We start from the raw sequence: 25,144 nt of genomic DNA, 5'->3' as shown, positions 1-25,144 counted from the left end.
TACTCAAGGAAAAAGTGTATAAAAATATATTGTTGGAGTTTTGCAAAGAACAGGATCTATTTTAGCTAGTTAAAAGGGGAGGTATTTATTATAGGAGATTAAAGGACTTTCAGATTTTGGAGAGGACTAAAGGGTCTGTAGTGAATAAAATGAATAATCAAGTAATCATTTGTGCTGCACACAATCCCACAAATGTTTTAGAATTCCTGCATAATGAGCCTGACTATTTGACCTTATGGATTAATTTAGCATGGACAATACCATTTATGTTGAAGAAACAAATTAATATTGGCTTCCCTTGAGATTTGGATAGGCATACTTCCTGAGATCTTTAGGTTCTTGGAGGAGTTTTTTATTCAAGATTTTGGAATCTTTTCAGGTCATGCTGAAAATATCAAGTTTCTCCGGGTTTCTATTGTACTCAAAACCATATTACTTTGTCCAGTTTCTCTTGAAAGTTTAGAATAAATGTCAAGCCATCTCTCTTTCTGCTCATTGCTCCACATGCACCACACAGTCTTCATAATACCTTTGCTTTTCCTCAAATTTTCCTTCAAAATGAAGCCGCTTCATGGCTTTTAAACACAAGAAAAGATTCTCAGCTTCCTTCTGAATGAGAGAAACAAAAATCAAGCTCCAATCACATTTTTTTCCTCCTCCCAAATGGGCAAAAGTCAAGAAGTTTAAAAACTGAGGCTGAGGTGGGCGGACCACAAGGTCAGGAGATCGAGACCATCCTGGCTAACATGGTGAAACCCCGTCTCTACTAAAAACACAAAAAATTAGCCGGGCGTGGTGGCGGGTGCCTGTAGTCCCAGCTACTCAGGGGGCTGAGGCAGGAGAATGGCGTGAACCTGGAAGGCAGAGCTTGCAGCGAGCTGAGATCGCACCACTGCACTCCAGCCTGGGCAACAGAGCGAGACTCTGCCTCAAAAAAAAAAAAAAAAAAGACTGTGGTATGCTGTAAAAGAAACCTTTGTAAATTGATAGGAGTGTAAATTAGTACACCCCCTATAGTAAGAACTTTGCCACTCTCCTTCTGAATTAAAAATGCACATACTCTTTGATCCAGCAATCCTACTGCTAGGAATTTTCCCATAGGTATACTTAGACATACTCAATATCATATGTGTACATATTCATTGCAACCCTGTTTGTAACAGCAAGAGTCCATTAAAACAGATTTGGCTAAATAAATGGAATATTAATTAGCTCTTAAAATAATAGAAAGTTCTGAAATGTTCTATATCTTGCTTTGGACATTGGTTACACCTGTGTATTCATTTGTCAAAATATATCAAACTGGATCTGTGATGCTAGTGAAAGTAAATTATACTTCAGTTTTTAAAAAAGGAAACATGGACAGTGTAGAATTGGGTTAAAAAACCTAGGACTCCATGAAACCTTTTTAAAGACAATAATTATGTTAAAAAAATGGGCTATGTGTCAGTATGTATAATATATTACTATTAGTATAGAAAAAATATGAACGTAATTGTATATGCATAGAGTATCTCTTGAAGGATGCAAGAATGGGATAATAGTAGTTACTTCTAGGAGAAAGAACCAGGTGGCTGGAAGATAAGGGATGAAGAGAGATTATTAATTTTTACCCTATACTCTTTTCTACCTTTAATTTTTATTACAGTATATGTAATAAATACTTAAAAAGAAAGTAATTTTTATGAAACTCTTGGCCAGGCGCGGTGGCTCACGTCTCTAATCCCAGCATTTTGAGAGGCCGAGATGGGCGGATCACAAGGTCAGGAGATGCAGACCATCCTGGCTAACACGGTGAAATCCTGTCTCTACTAAAAATACAAAAACTTAACTGGGCATGGTGGCACGCACCTGTAGTCCCAGCTGCTTGGGTGACTGAGGCAGGAGAATCGCCTGAACCCGGGAGGCAGAGGTTGCAGTGAGCCGAGATCATGCCACTGTACTCCAGCCTGGCGACAGAGTGAGACTGTCTCAAAAAAAAAAAAAAGAAACTCTTACTCTAAATTTGTCATTAGCCAGTACTCCCATGGTTAATGGCTTATTTGAAAGAACAAATCTCTAATTCTTTCAGTAGATTATCAACCCTTTGGACTACTGGCATACTGCTTTCCACCTCATAGTAAACATTCTTTCTGTCTTTTAAAAGATAGTCCAGGCACAGTGGCTCATGCCTATAATTCCAGCACTTTGGGAGGCCAAGGCAGGAGGATAAATTGAGCCCAGGGGTTTGAGACCAGCCTGGTTACCATGGTGAGACCCTGTCTCTACAAAAAATAAAATAAATGGGCAGGGCATGGTGGCTCACGCTTGTAATCCTAGCACTTTGGGAGGCTGAAGTGGGCAGATCATGAGGTCAGGAGATTGAGACCATCCTGGCCAACATGGTGAAACCCCATCTCTACTAAAAATACAAAAATTAGCTGCGTGTGGTGGTGCATGCCTGTAAACCCAGCTACTCGGTAGGCTGAGGCAGGCAAATTGCTTGAACCAGGGAGTCAGAGGTTGCAGTGAACTGAGATTGTGCCACTGCACTTCAGCCTGGTGACAGAGCAAGACTCCGTCTCAAAATAAATAAATAAATAAATAAATAAAATTAGCCAGGTGTGGTGTCATTCACCTGTAGACCCAGCTACTTGGGAGGCTGAGGTGGGAGGATCACTTGATCCCTGGATGTTGAGGCTGCAGTGAGCTGTGATTGCAATACTGCACTCCAGCTGGGGTGACAGAATGAGACCCTGCCTCAAAAACTAAAGAAAACAACAACAAAAAATGGTGCCCAAAATTTCTTTTTGTTCACATGATCTTACCTCCATAAGTCTTTCTTTTAGTGCAGCAAATATCTCACATGCAGAGTTAAATTCATACAACATCTATGGGAACTAGAAGATGGGCCAAAAATGTTCATGAGAGATGAATAAATAATGTTCTTTCTTTATGCATACAGCTAGATAAGGCAGGGACTGATCTACTTTAACAGCCCTGCCATAGGAACACAAAAGAGTAAGCCTGCTACAATTGTCAATATGCAAATAATGTGTGCATTCATGACTTAAAAATAACACGGAAAAATAGCTTTTTTTCAAAATTGACTTTCATGTTTTTATGTAATTTTTTAAAATCTAAGTTAATAAATATGAAAAAATTGTTGGGTTATCTGTTGAAAGATATTTCAAAGTTCTATAGTATTACCTGGCCTTTTCCATTTTCTTGAATTCTTATATATGCCACTATCCTTTGTATTTGAAGAAGGCTTGATTTAAAGATTATTCACTATTTGACCGAATTAACTGTTCCATTTAGCTAATGAACCATGAAATACTGTCACGTAGCTTGTACTTGATTTTGGCGGGGGGGGGCAAACTAATACACTATTTATATTGATTATTCAAATTAACAGTTACTTTAGCACTTTTAAAACACAGATTAACAGTGACTATGGTTCACAGAGTATTGTGAAGGGTGTATAAAGGTAGTTTTGGAGCTAACTTTTAAAATATTTTGATGGAGAAACAGAGGCACATATGGAACATTTATCTCTAAACTGACAATCACCAACAAATTGTTTTAAAAAAGAATACTTCATTCTTGGAGATTGTTTTCTGGCTATCGGTAGCCTTACTTCCTGGCTTTAGATGGCATTGAACTGCATAGCACATCAGTAGTCATTTTAATAATTTAATTAAATTAATACAATTTGGTTAAAATGTTTAATTTTAAATAACAAATGCATATGCCTTTGTGAAGAGATAGAGAAGTGCTGTGCAGAGTTAGAGCAGATTTGAATCCTGGCTCTGCTGCAGGTGAACCAACATTAAGTTTCTGTTTAAATCACTTAACCGATTGTGAAATTCAGTTTCTCCATCTGTTAAAAATATACATAATGTAATCTCCATCATCTGGTTGTAGGTGAGTGTCCAGTGAGACAACATATCTAAAATACTTACCACAATATCTCCATAAACTCTAACTATTTTTATTAAATTGTTGTGAGAGGAAATGCTTGGAATTGTAGAGCTTCCTGAAAATCATCCTAAAGCAATATATTAGGATCCAGCCTTATCTTTGTTATAAGGATTAAAATTTCATTCATTCATTCGGTGATTCATTCACATGTGGGGTTCCCAAAGACAAAATCACATTGATGGCTCCTTTAAAAGAAAATAAAACCTTTATATTAAAAAAAGCTTAATTTTTGTGGATAAAGCTGATTAAGGCAAGAACATTCTCCCAAAATGCATCATTTTAGAATCCTTCTTAGATTAACACTGTATAAAGTCTAAACTGTTTTCAGTGGCTCTTCCATCCCAGTCTGCTCTTTTCTGCTGACTTCAGTGGTCTCTTTACCCAGCCCAGGCCATGAGAGAATGGTTGAAATAGGACCTTTTGGACAAATAACTTGAATTTCTAGTTTTGGAGTCTTCAAGACAAAATGGTAATCTTATGCATATGGCAATTTTTTTCTTATCCCCAGGACACAAATTATCTGTTTACATGTCTGTTTGCCCCATTAGATGTCAAGCTCCTTTGAGGGTAGGGACATTGTCTCATTCATTTTTCCATCACTCCCCACTCCCATGCAGAAAGCTTACACATGGTAGTTGGTAGATGAAGAGTTTGTTTCTTTAAAATAATGCACTAAATATTATTTCATCCTAACCATTTTGATGAAAAAAATAGTTTACATTAGGACGGGCACGGTGGCTCTCATCTGTAACCCCAGCACTTTGGGAGGCTGAGGTGGGCGGATCACGAGGTCAGGAGTTCAAGATCAGCCTGGCCAACATAGTGAAACCCCATCTCTACTAAAAATACAAAAAATTAACTGGGCATGGTGGTGCCTCTAATCCCAGCTACTTGAAAGGCTGAGGCAGGAGAATTGCTTGAACCCAGGAGGCGGAGGTTGCAGTGAGCCGAGATCATGCCACTGCACTCCAGCCCGGGCAACAGAGCAAGACTCCATCTCAAAAGAACAAAAATTTAATAAAAATAAAAAATAGTTTACATTAGGGTTTCCTCTTGGTATTGTACATTCTATGAGTTTAAATAAACGTATAATGAGATGTAGCCACCATTATAACGTCATACACAGAATTTTCACTTTGGATGATAACAATGTGATGTAAGTTCATTGATTGTAACAAACATATCACTCAGGTGGGAGATGTTGATAATGGGAGAGGCTGTGCATGTGTCAGGGCAGGGGAGATATGGGTTACCTCTGTACCTTCCTCTCAATTTTGCTGTGAAACTGAAACTGCTCTAAAAAAATGAAAGTCTTTTAAACAAATAGTTATTTCACATTTTTATTTCAAAAAGGCTTTGTATTAGTCAGGGTTCTCTAGAGGAACAGAACTAATGGAATATATATGTGTATGTATATATATAAAGGGGAGTTTATTAAGTATTAACTCCCATGATCACAATGTCCCACAATAGGCCATCTGCAGGCTGAGGACCAAGGAGAGCCAGTCTGAGTTCCAAAACTGAAGACTTAGAGTCTGATGTTCAAGACTTAGAGTCTGATGTTCGAGGGCAGGAAGCATCCAGCATGGGAGAAAGATGTAGGCTGGGAGGCTAGGCCAGCCTCTCATTTCACATTTTTCTGTCTGCTTGTATTCCAGCTATGCTGGCAGCTGCTTAGATTGTGCCCACCAGATTAAGTGTGGTTCTGCCTTTCCCAGCCCACTAACTCAAATGTTAATCTCTTTTGGCAACACCCTCACAGACACACCCAGGATCAATACTTTGTATCCTTGAATCCAATAAAGTTGACACTCAATATTAACCATCACAAGTCCACCGCATGTCAACTTGAACCCATACAAATCTCCTGAGATCATACATAATCTTAAAATAAAGACAATAATAAGGTCATAATTACACCTAACATAATACAATTACGCTTCGTACAACTGGAAACGCACCAGTCCCTAACCTAAATACTATTACATGAAGTTAACAATACTTAAATGCTGATGTGAAGTCAATAAATCTTATGTCACATGATAAAGGAGAAAGGAAATAAAAAGCTATTTTCTTGGTACAAGTTTATACATGCACAAACATGTTTTTAATAAAAGAAGGAGGAAATACTCATGACAATTACAGTCCTTGGTTCTGCAGCTGGTCACGTGGTTGTAGCTGGTGCTGATGACTACCTTCTTCTACTACCCATTCTGTATTCCTTTTGCCCTCAGCAAGCACCTCAGCAGGTCATGATTTTTCTCCTAGTGGAGTGACCCAGACCTTCATTCCTGAAGGGTCTGGGACATTTGTAGTCCTGCCTGGATTGGGCTGTTATAGTTTCCCATTGACCTTAATTGCAGGGAATGGTAATATGCCCTAATGGATCTCCTATATTCCATGCATACTGTTCCTTACCTTCATTATGGAGTAGTGGACTGATTTCATCTTGATTGTCTGGGTCAATCACCCCAGCCAACACTGTAACTCCCTTCTTAGCCTGTTGACTTAAAGGTAGGAGGGGCCCAAAGTGTCCAGGTGGCAATCTTAACTTCCAGTTTAATGGAATCATTGTTGTGTCTCCTGGTGGCAGCATTCCTCCCTCTGGAACTAAGACCTCTAAGCCAGCAGAATGTAGTGTCATGGGAACAGGAAGCAAAAATTTTGCTAGTGGGTCACTAGGGGTGACGGTGAGTTGGTGCCACTTCCACTTCCACCCCTTGATTCCTGGACCCGTGAATCCTGGCTATGGCAGAAACAGTACCATATATTGGACGCTGATTCAGAGCATACACGACCTTCTGGAGAACTTTGCTCCAGCCCTGCAAAGTACTGTCACCTAGTTGGCACTGTAATTGTGACTTCAAAAGGCCATTCCACCATTCTATCAATCCAGTTGCTTCAGGATGATGGGGAACATGGTAAGACCAGTGAAGTCCATGAGCATTAGCTCACTGCCTCACTTCTTTAGCCATAAAGTGAGTGCCTTGGTCAGAGGCAATGCTGTGTGGAATACCATGATGGTGGATAAGGCATTCCGTGAGTCCAGGGATGGTGGTCTTGGCAGAAGCTTTGTGTGCAGGATAGGCAAACTCATATCCGGAGTAAGTGTCTATTCCAATGAGGACAAACCTCTGCCCTTTCCAACCAGGTAGCTGGCTGATCACCTCGAGGAATGGTGCCATGTGGAGGGCTTGATGTTGGTCTCTGCTGCTGGCAAACTGGGCACTCAGCAGTGGCCGTAGCCAGCTCAGCCTTGGTGAGTGGAAATCCATGTTGCTGAGCTCATGTGTAACCTCCATCCCTGCCACCACGGCCACTTTGTTCATGGGCCCACTGGGAGATGACAGGGGTGACTGGGGAAAGAGGCTGAGTGGTATCCACCAAACGGGTCATCCTATCCACTTGATTATTAAAATCCTCCTCTGCTGAGGTCACCCTTTGGTGAGCACTCACATGCGATACAATATCTTTACAGTTTTTGACCACTCAGAGAGGTCCATCCACATAACTTTTCCCCAAATTTCTTTGTCACCAATTTTCCAATCATGCTTCTTCCAAGTCCCTGACCATCCAGCCAAACCATTGGCTACAGCCTATGAATCAGTATATAATTGCACATCTGGCCATTTCTCCTTCCATGCAAAGTGCACAATCAGGTGCACTGCTCAAAGTTCTGCCCACTGGGAAGAGTTCCCTTCACCGCTGTCCTTCAGGAATGTCCTAGAAAGGGGCTGTAGTGCTGCAGCTGTCCACTTTCAGGTGGTGCCTGCATATTGTGCAGAGCCATCTGTGAACCAGGCCCTAGTCTTCTCTTCCTCTGTCAATTGATCATAGGGAACTCCCTATGAGGCCATCTGCGCAGGCTGGGGGAGAGAAGGCAGGATGGCAGGAGTGGAAACCATGGGCATTTGAGCCACTTCCTCATGTAACTTACTTGTGCCTTCAGGACCTGCTCAAGCCTGATCACGTATATACCACTTCCATTTGATGATGGAATGCTGCTGTCCATGACCCACTTTATGGCTAGATGGGTCAAAAAGCACCCAGTTCATGATAGGCAGTTCAGGTCCAATGGTGACTTGATGATCCATAGTCAAACGTTCCGTGTCCACCAAAGCCCAGTAACAGGCAGAGCTGTCTCTCAAAAGGAGAGTAGTTATCTGCAGAAGATGGCAGGGCCTTGCTCTAAAATCCTAGAGGCCTTTGCTGTGATTCACCTATGGGGGCCTGCCAAGGGCTCCAAAGAGCTTTCCTATCTGCCACTGACACCTCAAGCACCATTGGATCTGGTGGGTCATATGGCCCAAGTGGCAGAGCAGCTTGCACAGCAGCCTGGACCTGTAGCAGAGCATTCTCCTGTTCTGGACCCCACTCAAAACTGGCAGCCTTTCAGGTCACTCAATAAATGGGCCAGAGTAACACACTCAAATGAGGAATGTGTTGCCTTCAAAATCCTAATAGGCCCACTAGGCATTGTGCCTCTTTCTTGGTTGTAGGAAGGGCCAGATGCAGCAACTTATCCTTCATCTTAGAAGGAATGTCTCAACTGGCCCCACACCACTGGACCCCTAGAAATTTTACTGAGGTAGAAGTTCCCTGAATTTTAGTTGGATTTATTTCCCATCCTTTTGCATGCAAATGTCTCACCAATAAGTCCAGTGGGTCTGCTACTTCTTGCTTACTGGATCCAATCAGCAAAATGTCATCAATGTAAAGGACCAGTGTGATATCTTGCAGAAGCAAAAAGTGGCCAAGGTCTCTCCAAATAAGATTATGACACAAAGCTGGAGAGTTGACATACCCCTGAGGTAGGAGAGTAAAGGTATACTGCTGGCCTTGCCAGCTGAAGGCAAATTGCTTCTGGTGGGCCTTACGGACAGGAATGGAGAAAAAGGCATTTTCCAAGTCAATGGCTGCATGCCAGGTACCAGGAGATGTGTTAATTTGCTCAAGCAATGAAACCGCACCTGGTACAGCAGCTGCAATTGGAGTAACAACTTGGTTAAACTTATGATAAGCCGCTGTCATTCTCCAAGATCCATCTGTCTTCTGCACAGGCCAAATGGGACAGTTGAATGGGGATGTAGTGGGAATCACCACCCCTGCATCTTTCAAGTCCTTGCTGGTGACACTAATCGCTGCAATCCCTCCAGGGATGCAACCCACCATAATGGCACTCACCCTACCAGTCAGGGAGCCAATGTGGGGGTTCTGCCAGCTGCTTAGTATGTCTCTGCCAATTATGCATTCTGGCACTGGGGAAATGACCACAGGATGAGTGCAGGGACCCAATGGACCCACTGTAAGTCGGACCTGAGCTAAAACTCCATTAATTACCTGACTTCCATAAGCCCCTACTTTAACTGGAGGACCACAGTAACGTTTTGGGTCCCCTGGAATCAATGTTAGTTCAGAGCCAGTGTCCAGTAGTCTCCAAAATGTCTGATAATTTCCCTTTCCGCAATGCACAGTTACCCTGGTAAAAGGCCAAAAGTCTACCTGGGGGAGGATGGGAGAAAGATTCACTGCATAAATTGTTGGTAATGCAGTGGGGTCCTTCCTCAAGGGGGCCCAGCCTCCCCTTCAGTCAAGGGGTTCTGGGTCTGTAAACTGGCTCAAGTCCTGAAATTGACTGAGGGGCCATCATTCTCTGTTTTTATAATTCAAATTAGTCTCTTGTCCATTCCACCTAGAAGTTTTCTGCTCATATAAATTAAGTAGGAATGCAGTAGGCTTCCTATCAGTTTCATTTCTAGGTATAATGTGATTAATTAGCCAACGCCAGAGCTCTACACAACTCAGACTATGCTGATGGCTGCTTTGCCTCTGCTGTCCATTTTGATAGCTATGCCCACCTTGCCTTTGATGGTTGAGTGTCTCCACTTGGCCCCTGACACCTTGGGATCCAATCATTCTCATTGTATTTAAATTTTGTAGTTGAGTGACTGTGGTTCCCACTGTTAGATCTGTCATACAGAGAAGAGCAATTACAGGGCTCTTCAAAGATGCAGGTGCTGCCCTCACAAATCTATTTCACAAGGTATTGGTCAAGGGTATATCTTCTGGACCTTCCCAGCTAGGATGAGTAGGTCTAAAGTGACTAATCCACTCCACCATCCCAATCTCCTTAAGCCTTTGGATCCCTTCCTCTACATTAAGCCAAGAGAGATGAGGCATTTCCAGCTCGTTCACAGTGGGCCATCTTTTAATCCATATTTTAGCTAGCCAAGCAAATAAACTGTTAGAACCTTTTTTAACTCCCCAAGCTGCAACATTAAATGCAGAGTCTCTACTTAGGTGGACCCAAATCAATAAATTCAGCCTGATTCAACTCTACGTTCCTTCCACCATTATACCACGCCCTTAATATCCAGTCCCATGACCATTCTCCAGATTTCTGTTTATATAAATTAGAAAATTCAAGCCTTTCTTTTCCAGTGTAGCACACCTCCTCATGGGTCACAATCTCAATCTCACCTCTAGGGGCCCACCAGGGCTTTAGTCTAGTTATAGGTCTATAAGCAAACAGGGGTGTTGGGAGTGGCTCCTGAGGAGAATCAACATTATCTTGCCTGGCAACTGCCTCAGGGAAGGCCATCACTGTTGCCTTAGGCAGGCAGGGTTTATCTCCTCAGACAAAGGTGGAAAGGCTGATGGCAGAATGGGTGGGGGAGGGGATGTTGCCACTACTGGGGATGGGGAAGCTCTTCCTTCTGGCAAAAAAAGATTAATCACGACAGGTGCGGTGGCTCATGCCTGTAATCGCGGCACTTTAGGAGGCTGAGGCAGGTGATCATTTGAGGTCAGGAGTTCAAGACCAGCCTGGCCAACATGATGAAACCCCTTCTCTACTAACAATACAAAAATTAGCCAGGCGTGGTGGTGGGTGCCTATGATCTCAGCTACCCAGGAGGCTGAGGCAGGAGAAGCACATGAACCTGGGAGGCAGAAGTTGCAGTGAGCCAAGATTGTGGCATTGCACTCCAGCCTGGGCGACAGAGTGAGACTCCATCTCCAAAAAAATAAACAAAAATTAAATAAATAAATAAATAAATAAATAAACAAAATAAACGGTTCATCAGAGTTTACTAACTCAAAATCAGTGTCCCCAGCTTCATCAGGGTCCTCCCACATGTTCCCTTCCAAGTTGCAGGGTCCCATTATTTTCTGATCAATGCCCTCACTTTAACAGTAGACACCAAGCGAGGCTGTGCATGTACCTTTCATTCCAAGTCAGCCACTCGCATGATAAGGGCTCTTGTGTTTGTTTTTCCACAATTTCAGCTCTTTCTCTACAGAAGATAAGACTCTCACTCAGGGCATTCTTAGCAGATTTGAGGCTCAGTATCTGCTTCTGAAGCTGGGAGATAGAATCCATGAGTTCATCATTTTCTTTCATCACATTGTCCATTGAACTTAGGAGCAACCAACCAGCTTCATTATGTTCCTTGGTTCACCACATATGGTCAAAGGTATTAAGTAAAGAGTCACTAAACTCCTTGCCTCTCACGAGCAATGAATCAGGAGTGTCAAATGCATTTATATTGCATAACTCTCTAAGCAGTTCACACCAAGGACTATCAGTGTTCTCCATACTATTAGAAGTAGAGTCTGTAGCATTTCTGGGTCTAATCATATTAAGCAGCCAACTCCAGAAACCCAAAATCCAATGAAAGAACTCCATCATTAATATTCTGTTCCTCTAGAACCATTCCTGGTATCAAAATCTGTATTAGGATTCTCTAGAGGGACAGAGCTAATGAAATATATATATATATGTGTGTGTGTGTGTGTGTGTGTGTGTGTGTGTGTGTGTGTGTGTATATATAAAGGGGAGTTTATTATTAATTCACATGATCACAAGGTTCCACAATAGGCCATCTGCAGGCTGAGGACCAAGGAGAGCCAGTCCAAGTCCCAAAACTGAAGAACTTGGAGTCCGATGTTCGAGGGCAGGAAGCATCCAGCATGGGAGAAAGATGTGGGCGGGAGGCTAGGCCAGTCTCTCATTTCACATTTTTCTGCCTGCTTATATTCTAGCCTCACTGGCAGCTGGTTAGATTGTACCTACCTAGATTAAGGGTGGGTCTGCTTTTCCCAGCCCATTGACTCAAATGTTAATCTCCTTTGGCAACACACTCACAGACATACTCAATATCAACACTTTGTATCCTTCAATCCAATCAAGTTGACACTCACTATTAACCATCACAGGTTTACTTCTTTTTGTCATTTTGCTTTAATTGTCATTTGTTATGTCTAATTCAGGAAAGCCACCATGACCATTGAGCCTTTTAAAATTGCCACCCTCTTGGGAGCTCTCTGACCCCTGTGCTTTGCTAGTTGGTGTGGCTTTCATGTGTCACAGTGATGTTCTCAGGGCTACCATAGTTATTTTCAACTCTGGCTAAACTTTTGGGTCACCTGGATGCCTGACTTCTACCTGCAGACTATAGTTTGGTAGAATGCAGGTGAGACCCAGGAATAAGAATTGTTGACAAGCTGCACAGGTGACTCTGATACTCAGCTAGGCTGAAGAACACCTGGATCACCTGCGCCTTACTCTGGGGACAAGCAAAAGGCTGTTCTTCCTGGTCTGATGTAAGTATGGGCTCTATGCCCATTAAAACATGCTGTGCAAAGTCTGCAAATAGTGCTCCACAAGCCTGATGTGGACTACAAACGTTTTGTTTGTCCTGCAAAGTATTATTGTTTTTAGATTGTGAAATATTTCAAACCTACAGAACAGTGGGAATAATGTCATAAAAACTCACACACCTACCATCCAGTCTAACAAATCTTATTATTTTGCTCTATTTCTTACACATTTTTATTAAAGTAATAAAACAACATAGATGCAATAGAAGCCCTTTGTGTACCTTTCCCCTTCCTTCCTTCTCTCCCTCCCTCTCCAGGGGTAACAACTGGATTTGGAATTTATCATTCCAATCACTTTTCACTAAATATTTATTCAAAGACTACATTTAGTGTTGTTCTCTTGTTTTTAAACATTAAGTGTATGGTATCAGATTCTGTACAGTATTTTATAAAGATGGGCCAATATTTTAAAGCTGAGAAATTTCACATGAAATCAGATTTGTTGGCTTCTCTTGAAACAACAGGAAGGTCTGGCAGTGCGGGACTAGCTTTCTGGCAGGACAATGTGCCTTACTGGGCCAAGACTCTTTGGTGTGACATGGTCCCACTAGTCACGCTGTGTAGACATATGTGCATGCACCTGGACTGTGTCTCCTTTGATGCGGATCTGGCCCCTGATACTGAACTTCCTTCCACTCCAATTCTTTTCTCTCCTCAAGGCCATTTCTGCTGTCCTTTCCTAAGTGCTAAATGCCAAAGTTGTCTGCCTCTCACTCTTATCTCTTGCTGCCTCTCCTTCTGCTCTCTCTTTTCTCTGGTTTTCATTTTTATTTTCTTGCCATGCCCTGCCATTTTTTTTCTTGACTTTAGTACCAGAAGGACCTGGGTTTGTTTGTTTGTTTTAAAGACTTTGTCAATCGATAGTAAAAGAAGTTATTTTGACCAGTAAACCTGACCCATCATAATACATCTCTGTTACCTCTGGTTTGGACGATTCTCCCTAGTTTTGTTTTTGTTTTTGTTTTCTTTTTTTTTGAGGTGGAGTCTCACTCTGTCAGCCATGCTGGAGTGCAGTGACACGATCTCAGCTCACTGCAACCTCCACCTCCTGGGTTCAAGAGATTTCTGGCTAATTTTTGTATTTTTAGCAGAGATGGAGTTTCGCCATGTTGGCCAGGCTGGTCTCGAACTCCTGACCGCAAGCGATCCGCCTGCTTCGGCCTCCCAAAGTGCTAAGATTACAGGCGTGAGCCACCTCACCTGGCCCACTCTCGCTAGTTTAAGTGTTATTCACATGTTTTGGAGCTCCAGAAGCCTCGACACTGGATAAAGTGGAGTTTCACTAAGTTATATAGAGTTCTTAAGGGCTGAGATCCTTTTGCCTATTTTACCCACAGCAGTTGGCAAAGTGCCACACACTTAATCCTTAAGAATGTATTTATAGAATGAATGAATATTAATTAGTTAAATTGTGTTTTACTACATACATCCTTTTTAATAAGCCAGGCCAGTCCCTGGCTCTCCTTTATTTTTCAGAATACATACAACCCAAGATGTCTCTCCAGATGAAGATCTGAGCCTGGCAGGGGAGGCCCGGGGCAGAGATAGAAGAGTGTTTAGGGCTTATGGTGGTTTTGGTGGGAAGTTTTTTGAATAGAAAAGAAGTAAAAGGCTTTCAGACATCCTTGGTATTTGTAAGAATCTGAAGGTGAGAGGGATAAACAAAATATTTTCAGAAACTGCTGTTTCATGTGTAATGAATGGATTCCTCTTGAAGTGGTTCTTCAACAGAGATTGCACTAAAAAATCAATTGCTTTAAATTACATTTTTATGTCATTCTGCCTGGGACGGGACTATCAGGCTTTAGACAGATGACAGCATGAAAGAAATATGTATGCCATGTAGATGACTATAATGCCCTCTGGTGTTTTAGCCAAGGGCAATCCTTGCTAAATATGGAAGTCTTCCCCTATGGGTAGAGATAGTAGGGCTTCTAGTGAGTACTCTATCAGTACCCAAATCAGGGTCAGAAACTTCTGACATTAATAAAAAGACATTAACTGTCACCAGAGCTATTTTGTATGTAATATAAAATGCAATAGAAAGTCAATTTCAATAGCTGGTTGGGAAATAAATGAAAACATGTCTGGAAGTTATAATTCTTATAAATTTAACCCATTAAATCCATGTGATGAATTTAAAATGCAATGTCTCTGCAATAATTCAATCTAAAATAAATCCTCTTTCTGTTTATTGTTGGGAAATAGGTAGTAATGACACCTGAACACTAAATTGTGCTAATCCTAATAAAATTGAGTTACACCAGCTCTGGACTTTGGGTAATAGCATTAGTTGTGTCAGTGGAAGGCACATGACACTTCTGTTATTATGTTCAGTGCGAGATGGCTTGGTCTTCAAAGTCGGAAAGGGTCATACATTTTCAAATGCATTTTTCAGATGGACATTTGCTGTCACTGCTGAGAATTCATTCAGATAGTTACTATGTTTGCAGTTTTCTTCTCATTTACAATAATATTAAAAGCAAGCTGTAAAGTCCACGGCTTTGGTAGACAGTCGGTTCTAAAGCAGTGGCTAATTTTCGTTTTTTTTTTCTTTTTTTTGAGATGGAGTCTCACTCTGTCACCCAGGCTGGAGCGCAGCGGCATGATTTCGGCTCACTGCAACCTCCGCCTCCTGGGTTCAAGCGATTCTCCTGCCTCCGCCTCCCAAGTAGCTGGACTATTATAGGCGTCCACCACCATGCCCGGCTAATTTTTTTATTTTTAGTAGAGACGGGGTTTCGCCATGTTGGCCAGGCTGGTCTGAAACTCCTGACCTCAGGTGATCCAAAGTGTTGGGATCATAGGCATGAGCCACTGCACCCAGCCAGCAGTGGCTAATTTTCATTAGTGCTCATTGCTAAAGCCAGTTCAAATAAAATGCAACTGGCTAAAGAGCAAATCCCATAATTCCACTGTCTAGTTTCCTAAGGCTTCTGAAAGTTGTCAGAATCAAAATGGAGTTGTGGCAAAAACCCTGACAAGTAGAACTGAGAAGGACAGGAAGGGAGGGCTCTCATGCACAAAAGGCTGCAAAAACCACAACCTTGCAAAAAGGCCATTGCAACTTTATACGCACACATATAGGCACACAATACTTCTGTGAGGACGTCTGCCCAACAACTGCCCAACAACTGTCCAACCTCAGACTGGTATTACCCCTGTTATTCATCTTTGTAGCCAAGGATAATTATCTGAAAACAATTATTGACTCCTCATTTTAAAACAAACAAACAAACAAACAAACAAAAAACTTTTATCTCCCTGAATACCCACAGTTTACTATGTACAAGAACCCTATTCCAAAATAAGCATCATTTTCTTTTAAAGTCTCCTTCTGTGTTTGTTATTTAGGTTGACAGGCTGCTGTAACCAATACACATACTGGGGGGCTTAAAACAACAGAAGTTTATGCTTTCACAATCTGGAGGCTAGCTGGCCAAAATTAACCCTTGGCAGGGTTGATTTCTTATGGGAGGCTCTGAGGGAAAATCTGTTCCTTGTTTCTTTCCTAGCTTCTGGTGATTGCCTGCTATTTTTGGCATTCTTGACTTGTAGACACATCACTCCAATCTCTGCCTCCATCAACACATGGCATTCTCCTTGTGTGTGTGTGTGTATGTGTTTCTATTTGTCTCTGTGTCCAAATTTCCTCTTTTATTATAAGGATACCAGTCATTGCATTAGGGCCCAGACTAATCCAGTCTTTGCCTCTGCAAATACTCTATTTCCAAATAAGTTCACATTCCCAACTACCTGAGCTTAGGACTTCAACTCTTTTAGGGGACATGATTCAACCTTAATACCTACCTTCCCCTGAGACTACTACCCCTGGGCCCTCCTAGTCAGAAATTCCGGAGCCATCCACTGTACCACTACAACGTGTGTGTGGGTCAGGCGTGTTGCCCATACTAGCTCATTTAATTCTTACATAGCTCTTACAGTCCTGGGCTAATTGTCCCAATTTTAAGAAAACAGAGGCTCAGAAAATTTAGACTACCAGCTAGAAAGTGTAGTACAGGGATTTCAATTCAGCCATGCCCTTTCCATCATGCCCTACCATTACCCTCATTCAAAAAAAGTTTGATCTTTGTCTTTGGAAACAATTATTATAACCCAAGTCCAGCTCTTTCACAACTTTTCACTCAGAGTTACCAAAATAGTGGGTATGAAAGAGTTGGCCATGACAAATGACGGTGATCGATTTTCTTCAGACCTTAGGATACCTGACTATTTTCCACCATGCAATGATGGTGCTTTTGTGTTAGATTACATTTTAGCCATGGGAAAATCATCATCTGTCAAGACAACCTCTCACTTCTCCCACGGATGCATTTCTAAAACATTTTATAAATTGCATTTGTGCACATCCACTTTTTTAATGCATTGGGGCAATTTGACTTTTAAAAGAATCTTATCTGTCTGTCGTCAAGTTCTATTTCTCTGCTCCATAAATAATTTTTAAAGCCACTTTCCTCATCATTATCCTCAATATAATAGCTAATATTTACATTTCTCTAACTTGACTATTGCAATGGCTTCCAAATAGGTCTCCTTGCCTCCAATTTCCTCCTATAAAATCCACCCTTGCCAGTGCTGACTCATTCTGATGCTTAAAAGTATGTTTTATGTATTTAAAAAGTGTTACATTAACATTTAACAAATATTTACTGAGTGTCCTCTGTGCCAGGTGTTTTTCTAGGTACTGGGATACAGCAGTAAACCAAAGGAACAAAAAATCCTGCCCTCAGGGAGCTTATATTCTGCAAAGTTCATTCTTGTAATTATATATCTTTGCACTACATATTTTGCTACAAATCTTGGCAGACAGGAATAATGATGATGATGGTGGTGGTGGTTTCCATTTTGTTAAACTTCTATTATGTGTCATCCATTATCCTAAGCCATTATAACAACCCATGTGGAAGCTATTATTGTACTGATTTTTGCACAGGAGAAAACTGAGACTCAGAGAGTGAAGTAAGTCCAAAGGCAGAGACTTAAAAAAAATGAGGCTAGGCATGGTGGCTCACACTATAATCTCATCACTTTGGAAGGCTGAGGTGGATCACCTGAGACCAGGAAGTTCAAGACCATCCTGGGCAACATAGCAAAACCCTGCTTCTCCAAAATTAAATACAAATTAGCTGGGCATGGTGGCACACACCTGTAATTCCAGATACTTGGGAGGCTGAGGAAGATGGATTGCTTGTGCCCAGGAGCTCGAGGCTGCGGTGAGCCATGATCATGCCACTGCACTCCAGCTTGGGTGACAGAGCAAGACCTTGTCTCTAGAAAAACTGTTGAGCTGGGCACAGTGGCTCACGCCTGTAATCCAAGCACTTTGGGAAGCCAAGGTGGGTGGATCACCTGAGAGGTCAGGAGTGTGAGACCAACCTGGCCAACATGGTGAAATCCTATCTTTACTAAAAACACAAAATTAGCTGGTGTGGTGGCACACACCTGTAATCTCAGCTATTCAGGAGGCTAAGGCAGGAGAATACCTTGAACCCTGGAGGCAGAGGTTGCAGTGAGCCGAGATCGTGCCATTGCACTCCAGCCTGGGTGACAAGAGTAAGACTCTGTCTCAAAAAAATACAACACGAAACCCCGTCTCTACTAAAAATACAAAAATAGGCCAGGCGCAATGGCTCACGCCTGTAATCCCAGTACTTTGGGAGGCCGAGGCGGGTGGATCACAAGGTCAGGAGATCGAGACCATCCTGGCTAACACGGTGAAACCCCCGTCTCTCCTAAAAACACAAAAAAATTAGCCAGGCGTGGTGGCGGGTGCCTGTAGTCCCAGCTACTCAGGAGGCTGAGGCAGGAGAATGGCGTGAACCCAGAAGGCAGAGCTTGCAGTGAGCTGAGATCACGCCACTGCACTCCAGCCTGGGTGACACAGCGAGACTCTGTCTCAAAAACAAAAACAAAAAAATAAATAAAAATACAAAAATTAGCTGGGCGTGGTGGTGGGCACCTGTAGTACCAGCTACTTGGGAGGCTGAGGCAAGAGAATCGCTTGAACCTGGGAGGTGGAGGTTGCAGTGAGCTGAGATTGTGCCACTGCACTCCAGCATGGGCAACAAGAGCGAGACTCTGTCTCAAAAAACAAAACAAAACATCGAAGTCCAGATTTGAATCCAGTACTTTCTTTCTTCAAGGCGTTGGCCACTTCACTACACATCCTCTCTTAGATGTTCAAAGGGTTTATGAATAAATAATGGAACTCTACGAAACCTCTTTGTAATACAAATAACCACTGCAATAATCTGTTTATAAAATGAAAATGTATACTTACTTCATCTAAAGCATTATTTACCCTCCAGGGGACATTTGGCAATGTCTGGAGGCATTGTTGATAGTCACAATGTCAGCAGCAGGGTTGCCACTGGCATCTAGTGCATAGAGGCCAGGGTGCCTTTGTCTGCTCTGGCTGGTATGACAAAATACCTTAGACTGGGTAGCTGACAAACAACGGAAATTCATTTTTACAGTTCTGGAGGCTGAAAGTCCAAGATCAAGGTGCCAGCAAATTAGGTATTTACTGAGGGCTTGCCCTCTACTTCATAGCTAATGCCTCTAGCTGCATCCTCATCAAGCTCCTTCCGGCCTCATTTATAAGGGCACTAATCTAACTCAGGAGGGCTCTGTCCTCATGACCCAATCTCCTGCTAAAGGCTCTTAATACTATTCCACTGCCGATTAAGTGTCAACATATGAATTTTGGGGGGACAGAAACATTCAGACCATACCACAGGAGAACAGACCTCTACAACGAAGAGAACTATCTGACACAAAACAGCGCTGAGATTGAGAAACCCTGACACATCATGAGGCAGTTGGATACACTTTAAAAACATTTAGACCCTTATTTTTCCTTTCTATTTTTAACATCGCTCACTGAATGTACTCTTTATGCATTGAAATAAACCTTGTTTATATTTTAAAGGCACCCGCCTCCATCCCCATCTTTCAATTTAAATTTAGTAATGGATTTTCCGGGAAAAGTGCATATCAGTTGAATACTTCTAAAAAACATATATTTCTAAGTTTTAAGTACCATTTTACCCAATTGTTTACAGAAACATTAACTCTAATGCTTTTGTATAATTTTAAAATATTATTCATATTCTGTTCTTCATTTATAAAAATGATGCCAAAGAGCAATGCCAGGGGACATTCTTCTTTAAACCGATTTACTGTAGAAATGATGGATGTGCACTGAGTCATCCACTCAAGCAAGTCTTCATCCTGGTAGCCATTTGGAAAGCGGTTGACTAGAGACCGACATGTAGTCTGTGACTGGGGAACAGTTGCTTTTTGTGGGAGACTAATTGATCTGTGTTTGATTCAATTCTGTGATATTGATCTTGACGGCATCATGTTTTCCTACTAAGTCCCAAGAACATTCCTGGTCTTCATAATCCCACTTCATGGTTTGAAAGTCAAAAATAGAAATTCATATGACAAAATGGAAGTCATATTCATTTGATCATTTTTCTTTTCCTTTAAAAACAGTCCTTAAAAGTTCTTTGGGGTAGGGTGGAGGCAGCACTTGAAGAGGTCAGCAGCCATGGCTTGGTATAAAGAGCTCCCCTGTTCCTCAGAGGCCTAGAATTTGTTTATGAAGGGCTCTGTTTCTTGACAGACATGACAAGACACAGTTTTTGAAGTCCTCCGCATCAAAGAATGTACACTTAGTTCAGCATGAACTTCTGCTTCAAGACCAGAGCGAGGTAGCTGCTTTACTCCAACTTTTGTAATGCTCCAAGAGATTAAGTGCCCTCATCTTCAGTGGACATCAATGTTTTGATTAGACAACTAACTTTCCTAATAAATTTCTGGGCTTCTTCTGAATAATCTTTCAAAAATTTTAGTGAGATTTCTGTACATACACTCGGGAGACAAAATCATGATATCCCTAGAGTTTTTATTACATCCTCATTATTCTTACCTATTTCTTCAGCAGTCCTAGCAATGAGAACCAGACAAGATCATCTTGGCCAAACGACCAATACTATTGGTTTACTGCCCCGTTTCAGTTGGAGACAAGAACGGTGGATCCTGGTCACCTCCACGGAGGGAACACAGAGAACATTCACTGTTAAATATGACACCTATAATTAGGAAAACCTATGGTTTTACCATAGCAGTTTTACAGACGAGGTTATTTTTGGGGTGTTGAAAAAACAGCAATTAAAAGCTTCCAACACAGTTTATTCATGCCCCAATAAATTATTTCCCCACCAAGTATACGCTCTTAAAGAAACGCCTGATGTCTGGCCTCAGTGTCCTCACGGGCTAACGTGGCAATTATTAAGGGTGTAGAATTTGAGCAAACTTTCTAAACCTCTCCTGCATGTCTTATTCTAATTCCACAGCCCCTTAAATCGCCTCCCTGGGATCCAGGCGGCTTGGAAAAAATGAAGTCTGAACAGCCAGAGACCTAAGGAATCAAGTTTCATTTACTAAGAAAAACTAGAAGGACTGCGATTAGATTAGGCAAGGTGGGAAAGGGATACCGGCAAGTAAAGCGCCGGAAACTTACAACTTGGGTTATTTTCTAACTGGCGTCTTGCAAAGGGACACCATGTAGGTATCCCGCTCGTCAACTTGTAAATGAACTTCAGGTTCTCTTTGGTGGCAGGAGAATTCTGAATGTGAGAACCTGGCGGCCGTTCAACGACCCCGCCCTCGGGGTCCCCAGGGGGCGTCCTCCGGCAAGCCTGATCGTCTGGGGCCAAGGCGCAGGGCGAGCAGGGAGGGAGGAGGAGAACCAGGGCCGGTGGCCCCGAAAGCACACACAAAGCGGCCTGACTCCTTTGGTGGGAACTTCCCCGGCCGCCAGCGGAGCGGGAGCGGGAGGGGGCGGCGGAGAGGGGGGGCGGCGGTTCCCCTCGCCGAGGCGGAGAACAGCGCGCGCTAGGCTCTGGGCGCGCGGCGAGCGCAGCGGCCGCCGCCTCCTCCCTTCCCCGCCTCCGCCGGCGCTGCCTCCTCCCTCCGCCCAGCTCGGCCTCCCTTGCTCCCTCCCCTCCTAGCTGGCTTCGGCGGGGACGGCGGCGGCGGCGGCGGGCGGGGAGGGCGTGCGCCGGCCGAGAGGTGTCGGCGGCGAGGCAAAGGAAGTTTCAAGTGGAAGGTCGTCCGTCGGCCGGCGCGTCCTCCTGCTCTCCTCCGCAGCATCATGGCGGAGCCGAGCGGCTCGCCCGTGCACGTCCAGCTTCCCCAGCAGGCGGCCCCGGTGACAGCGGCGGCGGCGGCGGCCCCGGCGGCCGCGACAGCAGCGCCGGCCCCGGCAGCTCCCGCGGCCCCGGCCCCGGCCCCGGCCCCGGCGGCACAGGCTGTCGGCTGGCCCATCTGCAGGGACGCGTACGAGCTGCAGGAGGTTATCGGTCAGTGCGGCGGGCGCGGCGGGGCCGGCACAGGCCGGGCGCCGAGGCCGGGCGGGAGGGGGCGCGGGATGCTGGGCTAGCCTGCATGCACGCCCTGGAGGCAGAGAGGCCGGCTTCGGGGCCTACTGGCTTCAACAGTTTTTTTTTTTTTTTTTTTTTTTTTTTTAATTTTTAATGTATTTGTTCGTTCTATGAGCGTTGGTGCTGCAGGAGGCGGCGCGGCGGATGTGACTCGCACTGCAGACGAGCCGCATGCTGCAAACTTTTATCTCAGGGATCGCCGGGGCGGTGGAGCGGAGGACCAGGCGGCGCCGCCGCATCTTCCTCCCCCCGCGTGCCGGGACCGCAGCCCGTGGCCGGTGGCCACGCGGACAGGCAGCCGCGGGTGGGGTGTGGTTGCGGGGGCCCCGCCCTGGGTTTCCAGGGCCCCGGGGGCCGCGTCCTGGGGGACTCTGCGGGCGCAGCCGCTCCTCTGCCTCCCGTCGTGACCCTCTCGTCGTGGGTAACGGGGCCACGTAGAAGCCGCGGAGGCCCCAGTGCTTTTCTGAGGCCGGGGAGGATGCTGGCCTCTCTTCCTGACAGCCGCCACTCCACGCCCGCCTTGCAGCCCGGCTCTCCGCGCCACTCGGCGCGCCCGGGTACCCGCCTCCCTCCGTGCCAGGGTGCGCCGCCTGCCGCCCAGTCCGGCTCCCCGGGGAAAGCGGGTGCCCTGGCCTCCTGCCCTGCACCGGGCCGATGCTTCCCTCTGTTTCAGGCCGAGCTGCAAGAGTGAAATCCGAGGCTGCCGGTGATCTGCTCTCTGCCTTTCGTTGCCTTCTGGCCGGCTCACAAATATCACCTTATCTTACATTTTTAAATACCTGGCAGAGTCGCAGGGCTCGGCGTTACTTTTCCTTGGGCCAAGCACTTGAAGGGCCAGGAGATTTGTTTTGTCCCTTGACTTAGAACCTTCCCTATTGGATCATCCAGTTTGAGAGTCTTGTCACTTAGGGAAGCCTCCAGGTTAAGTGGGCCCTCAGCGTCTAACCTTACTGACGCAGGGATGGGATGTTGCCTTTCCAGAATCTTGGTATATAAGTACAGCGATGAAAAAGGAGTTCAGAATATTTATCTTAAGTATTTTTTCTAACTTTCACTTCAAAAAATTCTTCACCTCCTTTTAAAAAAATTAAAACAGATATAAAAATTTCACTAGGTGTTTAAATGAGCCTTTATCACCTGCTATTGGGGAATAAAACAGCATAGACGGAAATATATATATAAATATATACATAAAAATATGTGAGAAAATGTTGGGCAGGTCCGTAACCTAGGATATATACAAGCTTCAGATAACCTATAATAGGCATCTGTAGACAAAATTCTTTGAAAACCCAGATCTTTCATAATTTTTGACCAAAGACTCTAAAGGGATGAGTCTTCATGTCACTGCCTGAAATAGCTTCAGGGGCTTCTCAAAGCCTGGAATATTCCATGGAAACCTCTTTAACCTGGCATATAGGCCCTGTACCCTCAACCTGCCTGCCTCCTCCCATTGTCTACTCTTCAGTGATTGCTTCCTGAATACACCGCTGTCTTCCGCACATCTGGTCTTCCATTCTTTGCTGCCTTGCAGAGGCTCTTCCCTCCTGTGAGTGCCCATCTTTGTGTACTAAATCTCACTCCGCTTCCAAGGTGAGTGTGAATATTCCTTGAAAAGCCTTCTGCTTCTTTCAAGGCAAAATGCCGTGGTTTCTTCTGCCCCTCTTTTTACAGACCTCATAGCATGTAACCTCATAGTTGTTATTTGCGCAACAAGATCTGAAGGCCTGCTGTGTCCCAAGCATTGCCCCACTTGCTAGCAATATAGAAATTAACAAAAGTGATCCCTGCCCTAAGTTGTTAGGAGACATAGGGAAAGGATCCTATAGGATGTGATGAGTAAGTACTGGGAGAGCCCGAAGGAGGGAGTGACTGCCAGGAAAGAGAAGGAAGCAGAGTATTTCTTAGTAGAGGTCGTAGTTGAGCTGGGTTTTAAGTCTGAGTTTGTAAGGTGCTTAATTATTTCCACTGTTGCCTTCACTAACCAGCTGTGAACTCTGACAGGAAGAGGTGGGCCATAAAAGTTGAATAATGGTATCTGCCACATAATTCTCCATAGAGTCCATAGGATTGGGAGAAGTTATAATCAATTTATATACCTACTTGGTCAATTATTAGGGTTAAAATACAAACGTTGCCTTTTGAAAACAGTATTTTTTTGTGAACTAATAAAATCTTAGTTTAAGTTGAGTGGGATTAATGGCAGGACTTCTTTCTGTTTGCAGTCCCAGCAGTGTTAATTATGGTTGGTCAGTTTAGTGGAAAAAAAGAAATTTACCTGAGGAATTTGAGAACAAAAACACCTGCTTATTCTACCCTGACTTTTGCGCATTTGCATTGTGGGAAGGGCTTTTCTACATTTAAAGTTTATCTCATATTTTCCCAACTAAAAGAGAAAGAGTTGGCCTGTGTGGAGGCCCTGTTATTGAAAAATCAAATTGCTGGAATAGGTTTTTCGCAAGGGCTTAATGTTTATAAGGAATTACAAACCTGTTTCCATTTAGGGTTTAATGCTAGTTGAGAGATTAAGACTGAACTTGTGGTTAAGCACTTTTGCTTAAACATTACACGCAGAAGTTAGCAGTTCAAACACTGAACCAGTTTCAACATGAATGCCAGTTGACAGCCTTTGCTTCTACCCGCCATACGGCAGGTGTCATATGATATGACTCCAGCAGTGTGAACCGTGACCAGCAGCAGGAGGCTCAGATGTGCCTGAACAGAAAACCAAAGGAGGCACCGTGTTTTAACTTTCCAGCATGGCACGGGCACGGAGGACTTTTTCTTCATTTCCTTCTGGGCAGAGTTTGGTCCCCCAGGATTAAGAGAGAATAAGTTTACTAAAATCCAAACAAAGCAGGTTCAGTTGTTTGACTTCAGTTTTAGAAAAATAAACACAGGATTTTGCAAACCTAAAAATAAAGTTTTCTCTTTATTGTATTGTTGTTCTTGTGTTTTAAAACGTCAGTGGAGAAATTGTAATGCTCTTAGGAGTATTCTGGTTCATAAGTTTATTCATGACCTGGAAATGATGTAAAATCGATGGG

General features: G+C 43.6%; 1 protein-coding gene and 1 long non-coding RNA gene across 10 annotated transcripts in view, besides 5 other annotated features; one reads left to right on the top strand and one right to left on the bottom strand.

The window, feature by feature from the left end:
- Window positions 1-336: 336 nt before the first annotated feature.
- Window positions 337-21,283, bottom strand: LOC107985959 (uncharacterized). Of its 3 annotated transcripts, none has more exons than XR_007087282.1 (5): window positions 21,176-21,283; window positions 3,945-4,148; window positions 2,808-2,879; window positions 1,852-1,966; window positions 337-609 (listed from the first exon to the last, which is right to left on the bottom strand). It is a non-coding gene; the product is annotated as an uncharacterized LOC107985959 (long non-coding RNA). The 3 variants fall into 3 exon arrangements; XR_001739765.2 differs by lacking the exon at window positions 337-609 and adding an exon at window positions 20,582-20,699 and having other exon boundaries at window positions 1,929-1,966; XR_001739763.2 differs by lacking the exon at window positions 337-609 and having other exon boundaries at window positions 1,929-1,966; window positions 20,582-21,283.
- Window positions 21,444-21,693: a silencer, noted in NCBI's record as "silent region_12076". NCBI's record gives its function as "represses an Ori minimal core promoter by ATAC-STARR-seq in GM12878 lymphoblastoid cells {active_cell/tissue: GM12878}" and the evidence as "EXISTENCE:reporter gene assay evidence [ECO:0000049][PMID:35858748]".
- Window positions 21,649-25,144, top strand: part of STK39 (serine/threonine kinase 39) — a 293,574-nt gene continuing 290,078 nt past the window's right edge. For 6 of the 7 annotated variants that reach the window (NM_001410961.1, NM_013233.3, XM_047443941.1 and 3 more), the window contains exon 1: window positions 21,649-22,016. In NM_001410961.1, the coding sequence (NP_001397890.1) occupies window positions 21,809-22,016 (208 nt within the window). In that variant the 5' untranslated portion in view covers window positions 21,649-21,808. Of the gene's footprint in view, window positions 22,017-22,182; window positions 23,691-25,144 lie in introns of those variants that run through there. The other variant, XM_047443944.1, reaches the window with a different exon arrangement.
- Window positions 21,904-21,953: a silencer, noted in NCBI's record as "silent region_12075". NCBI's record gives its function as "represses an Ori minimal core promoter by ATAC-STARR-seq in GM12878 lymphoblastoid cells {active_cell/tissue: GM12878}" and the evidence as "EXISTENCE:reporter gene assay evidence [ECO:0000049][PMID:35858748]".
- Window positions 22,314-22,363: a silencer, noted in NCBI's record as "silent region_12074". NCBI's record gives its function as "represses an Ori minimal core promoter by ATAC-STARR-seq in GM12878 lymphoblastoid cells {active_cell/tissue: GM12878}" and the evidence as "EXISTENCE:reporter gene assay evidence [ECO:0000049][PMID:35858748]".
- Window positions 22,454-22,543: a silencer, noted in NCBI's record as "silent region_12073". NCBI's record gives its function as "represses an Ori minimal core promoter by ATAC-STARR-seq in GM12878 lymphoblastoid cells {active_cell/tissue: GM12878}" and the evidence as "EXISTENCE:reporter gene assay evidence [ECO:0000049][PMID:35858748]".
- Window positions 22,564-22,763: a silencer, noted in NCBI's record as "silent region_12072". NCBI's record gives its function as "represses an Ori minimal core promoter by ATAC-STARR-seq in GM12878 lymphoblastoid cells {active_cell/tissue: GM12878}" and the evidence as "EXISTENCE:reporter gene assay evidence [ECO:0000049][PMID:35858748]".

Source organism: Homo sapiens, chromosome 2, assembly GCF_000001405.40.
Source record: "Homo sapiens chromosome 2, GRCh38.p14 Primary Assembly".
NCBI lineage: Eukaryota > Metazoa > Chordata > Mammalia > Primates > Hominidae > Homo > Homo sapiens.
The sequence above is the reverse complement of the archived record's forward strand: the minus strand, read 5'-3'. Positions and strand labels throughout refer to the sequence as shown.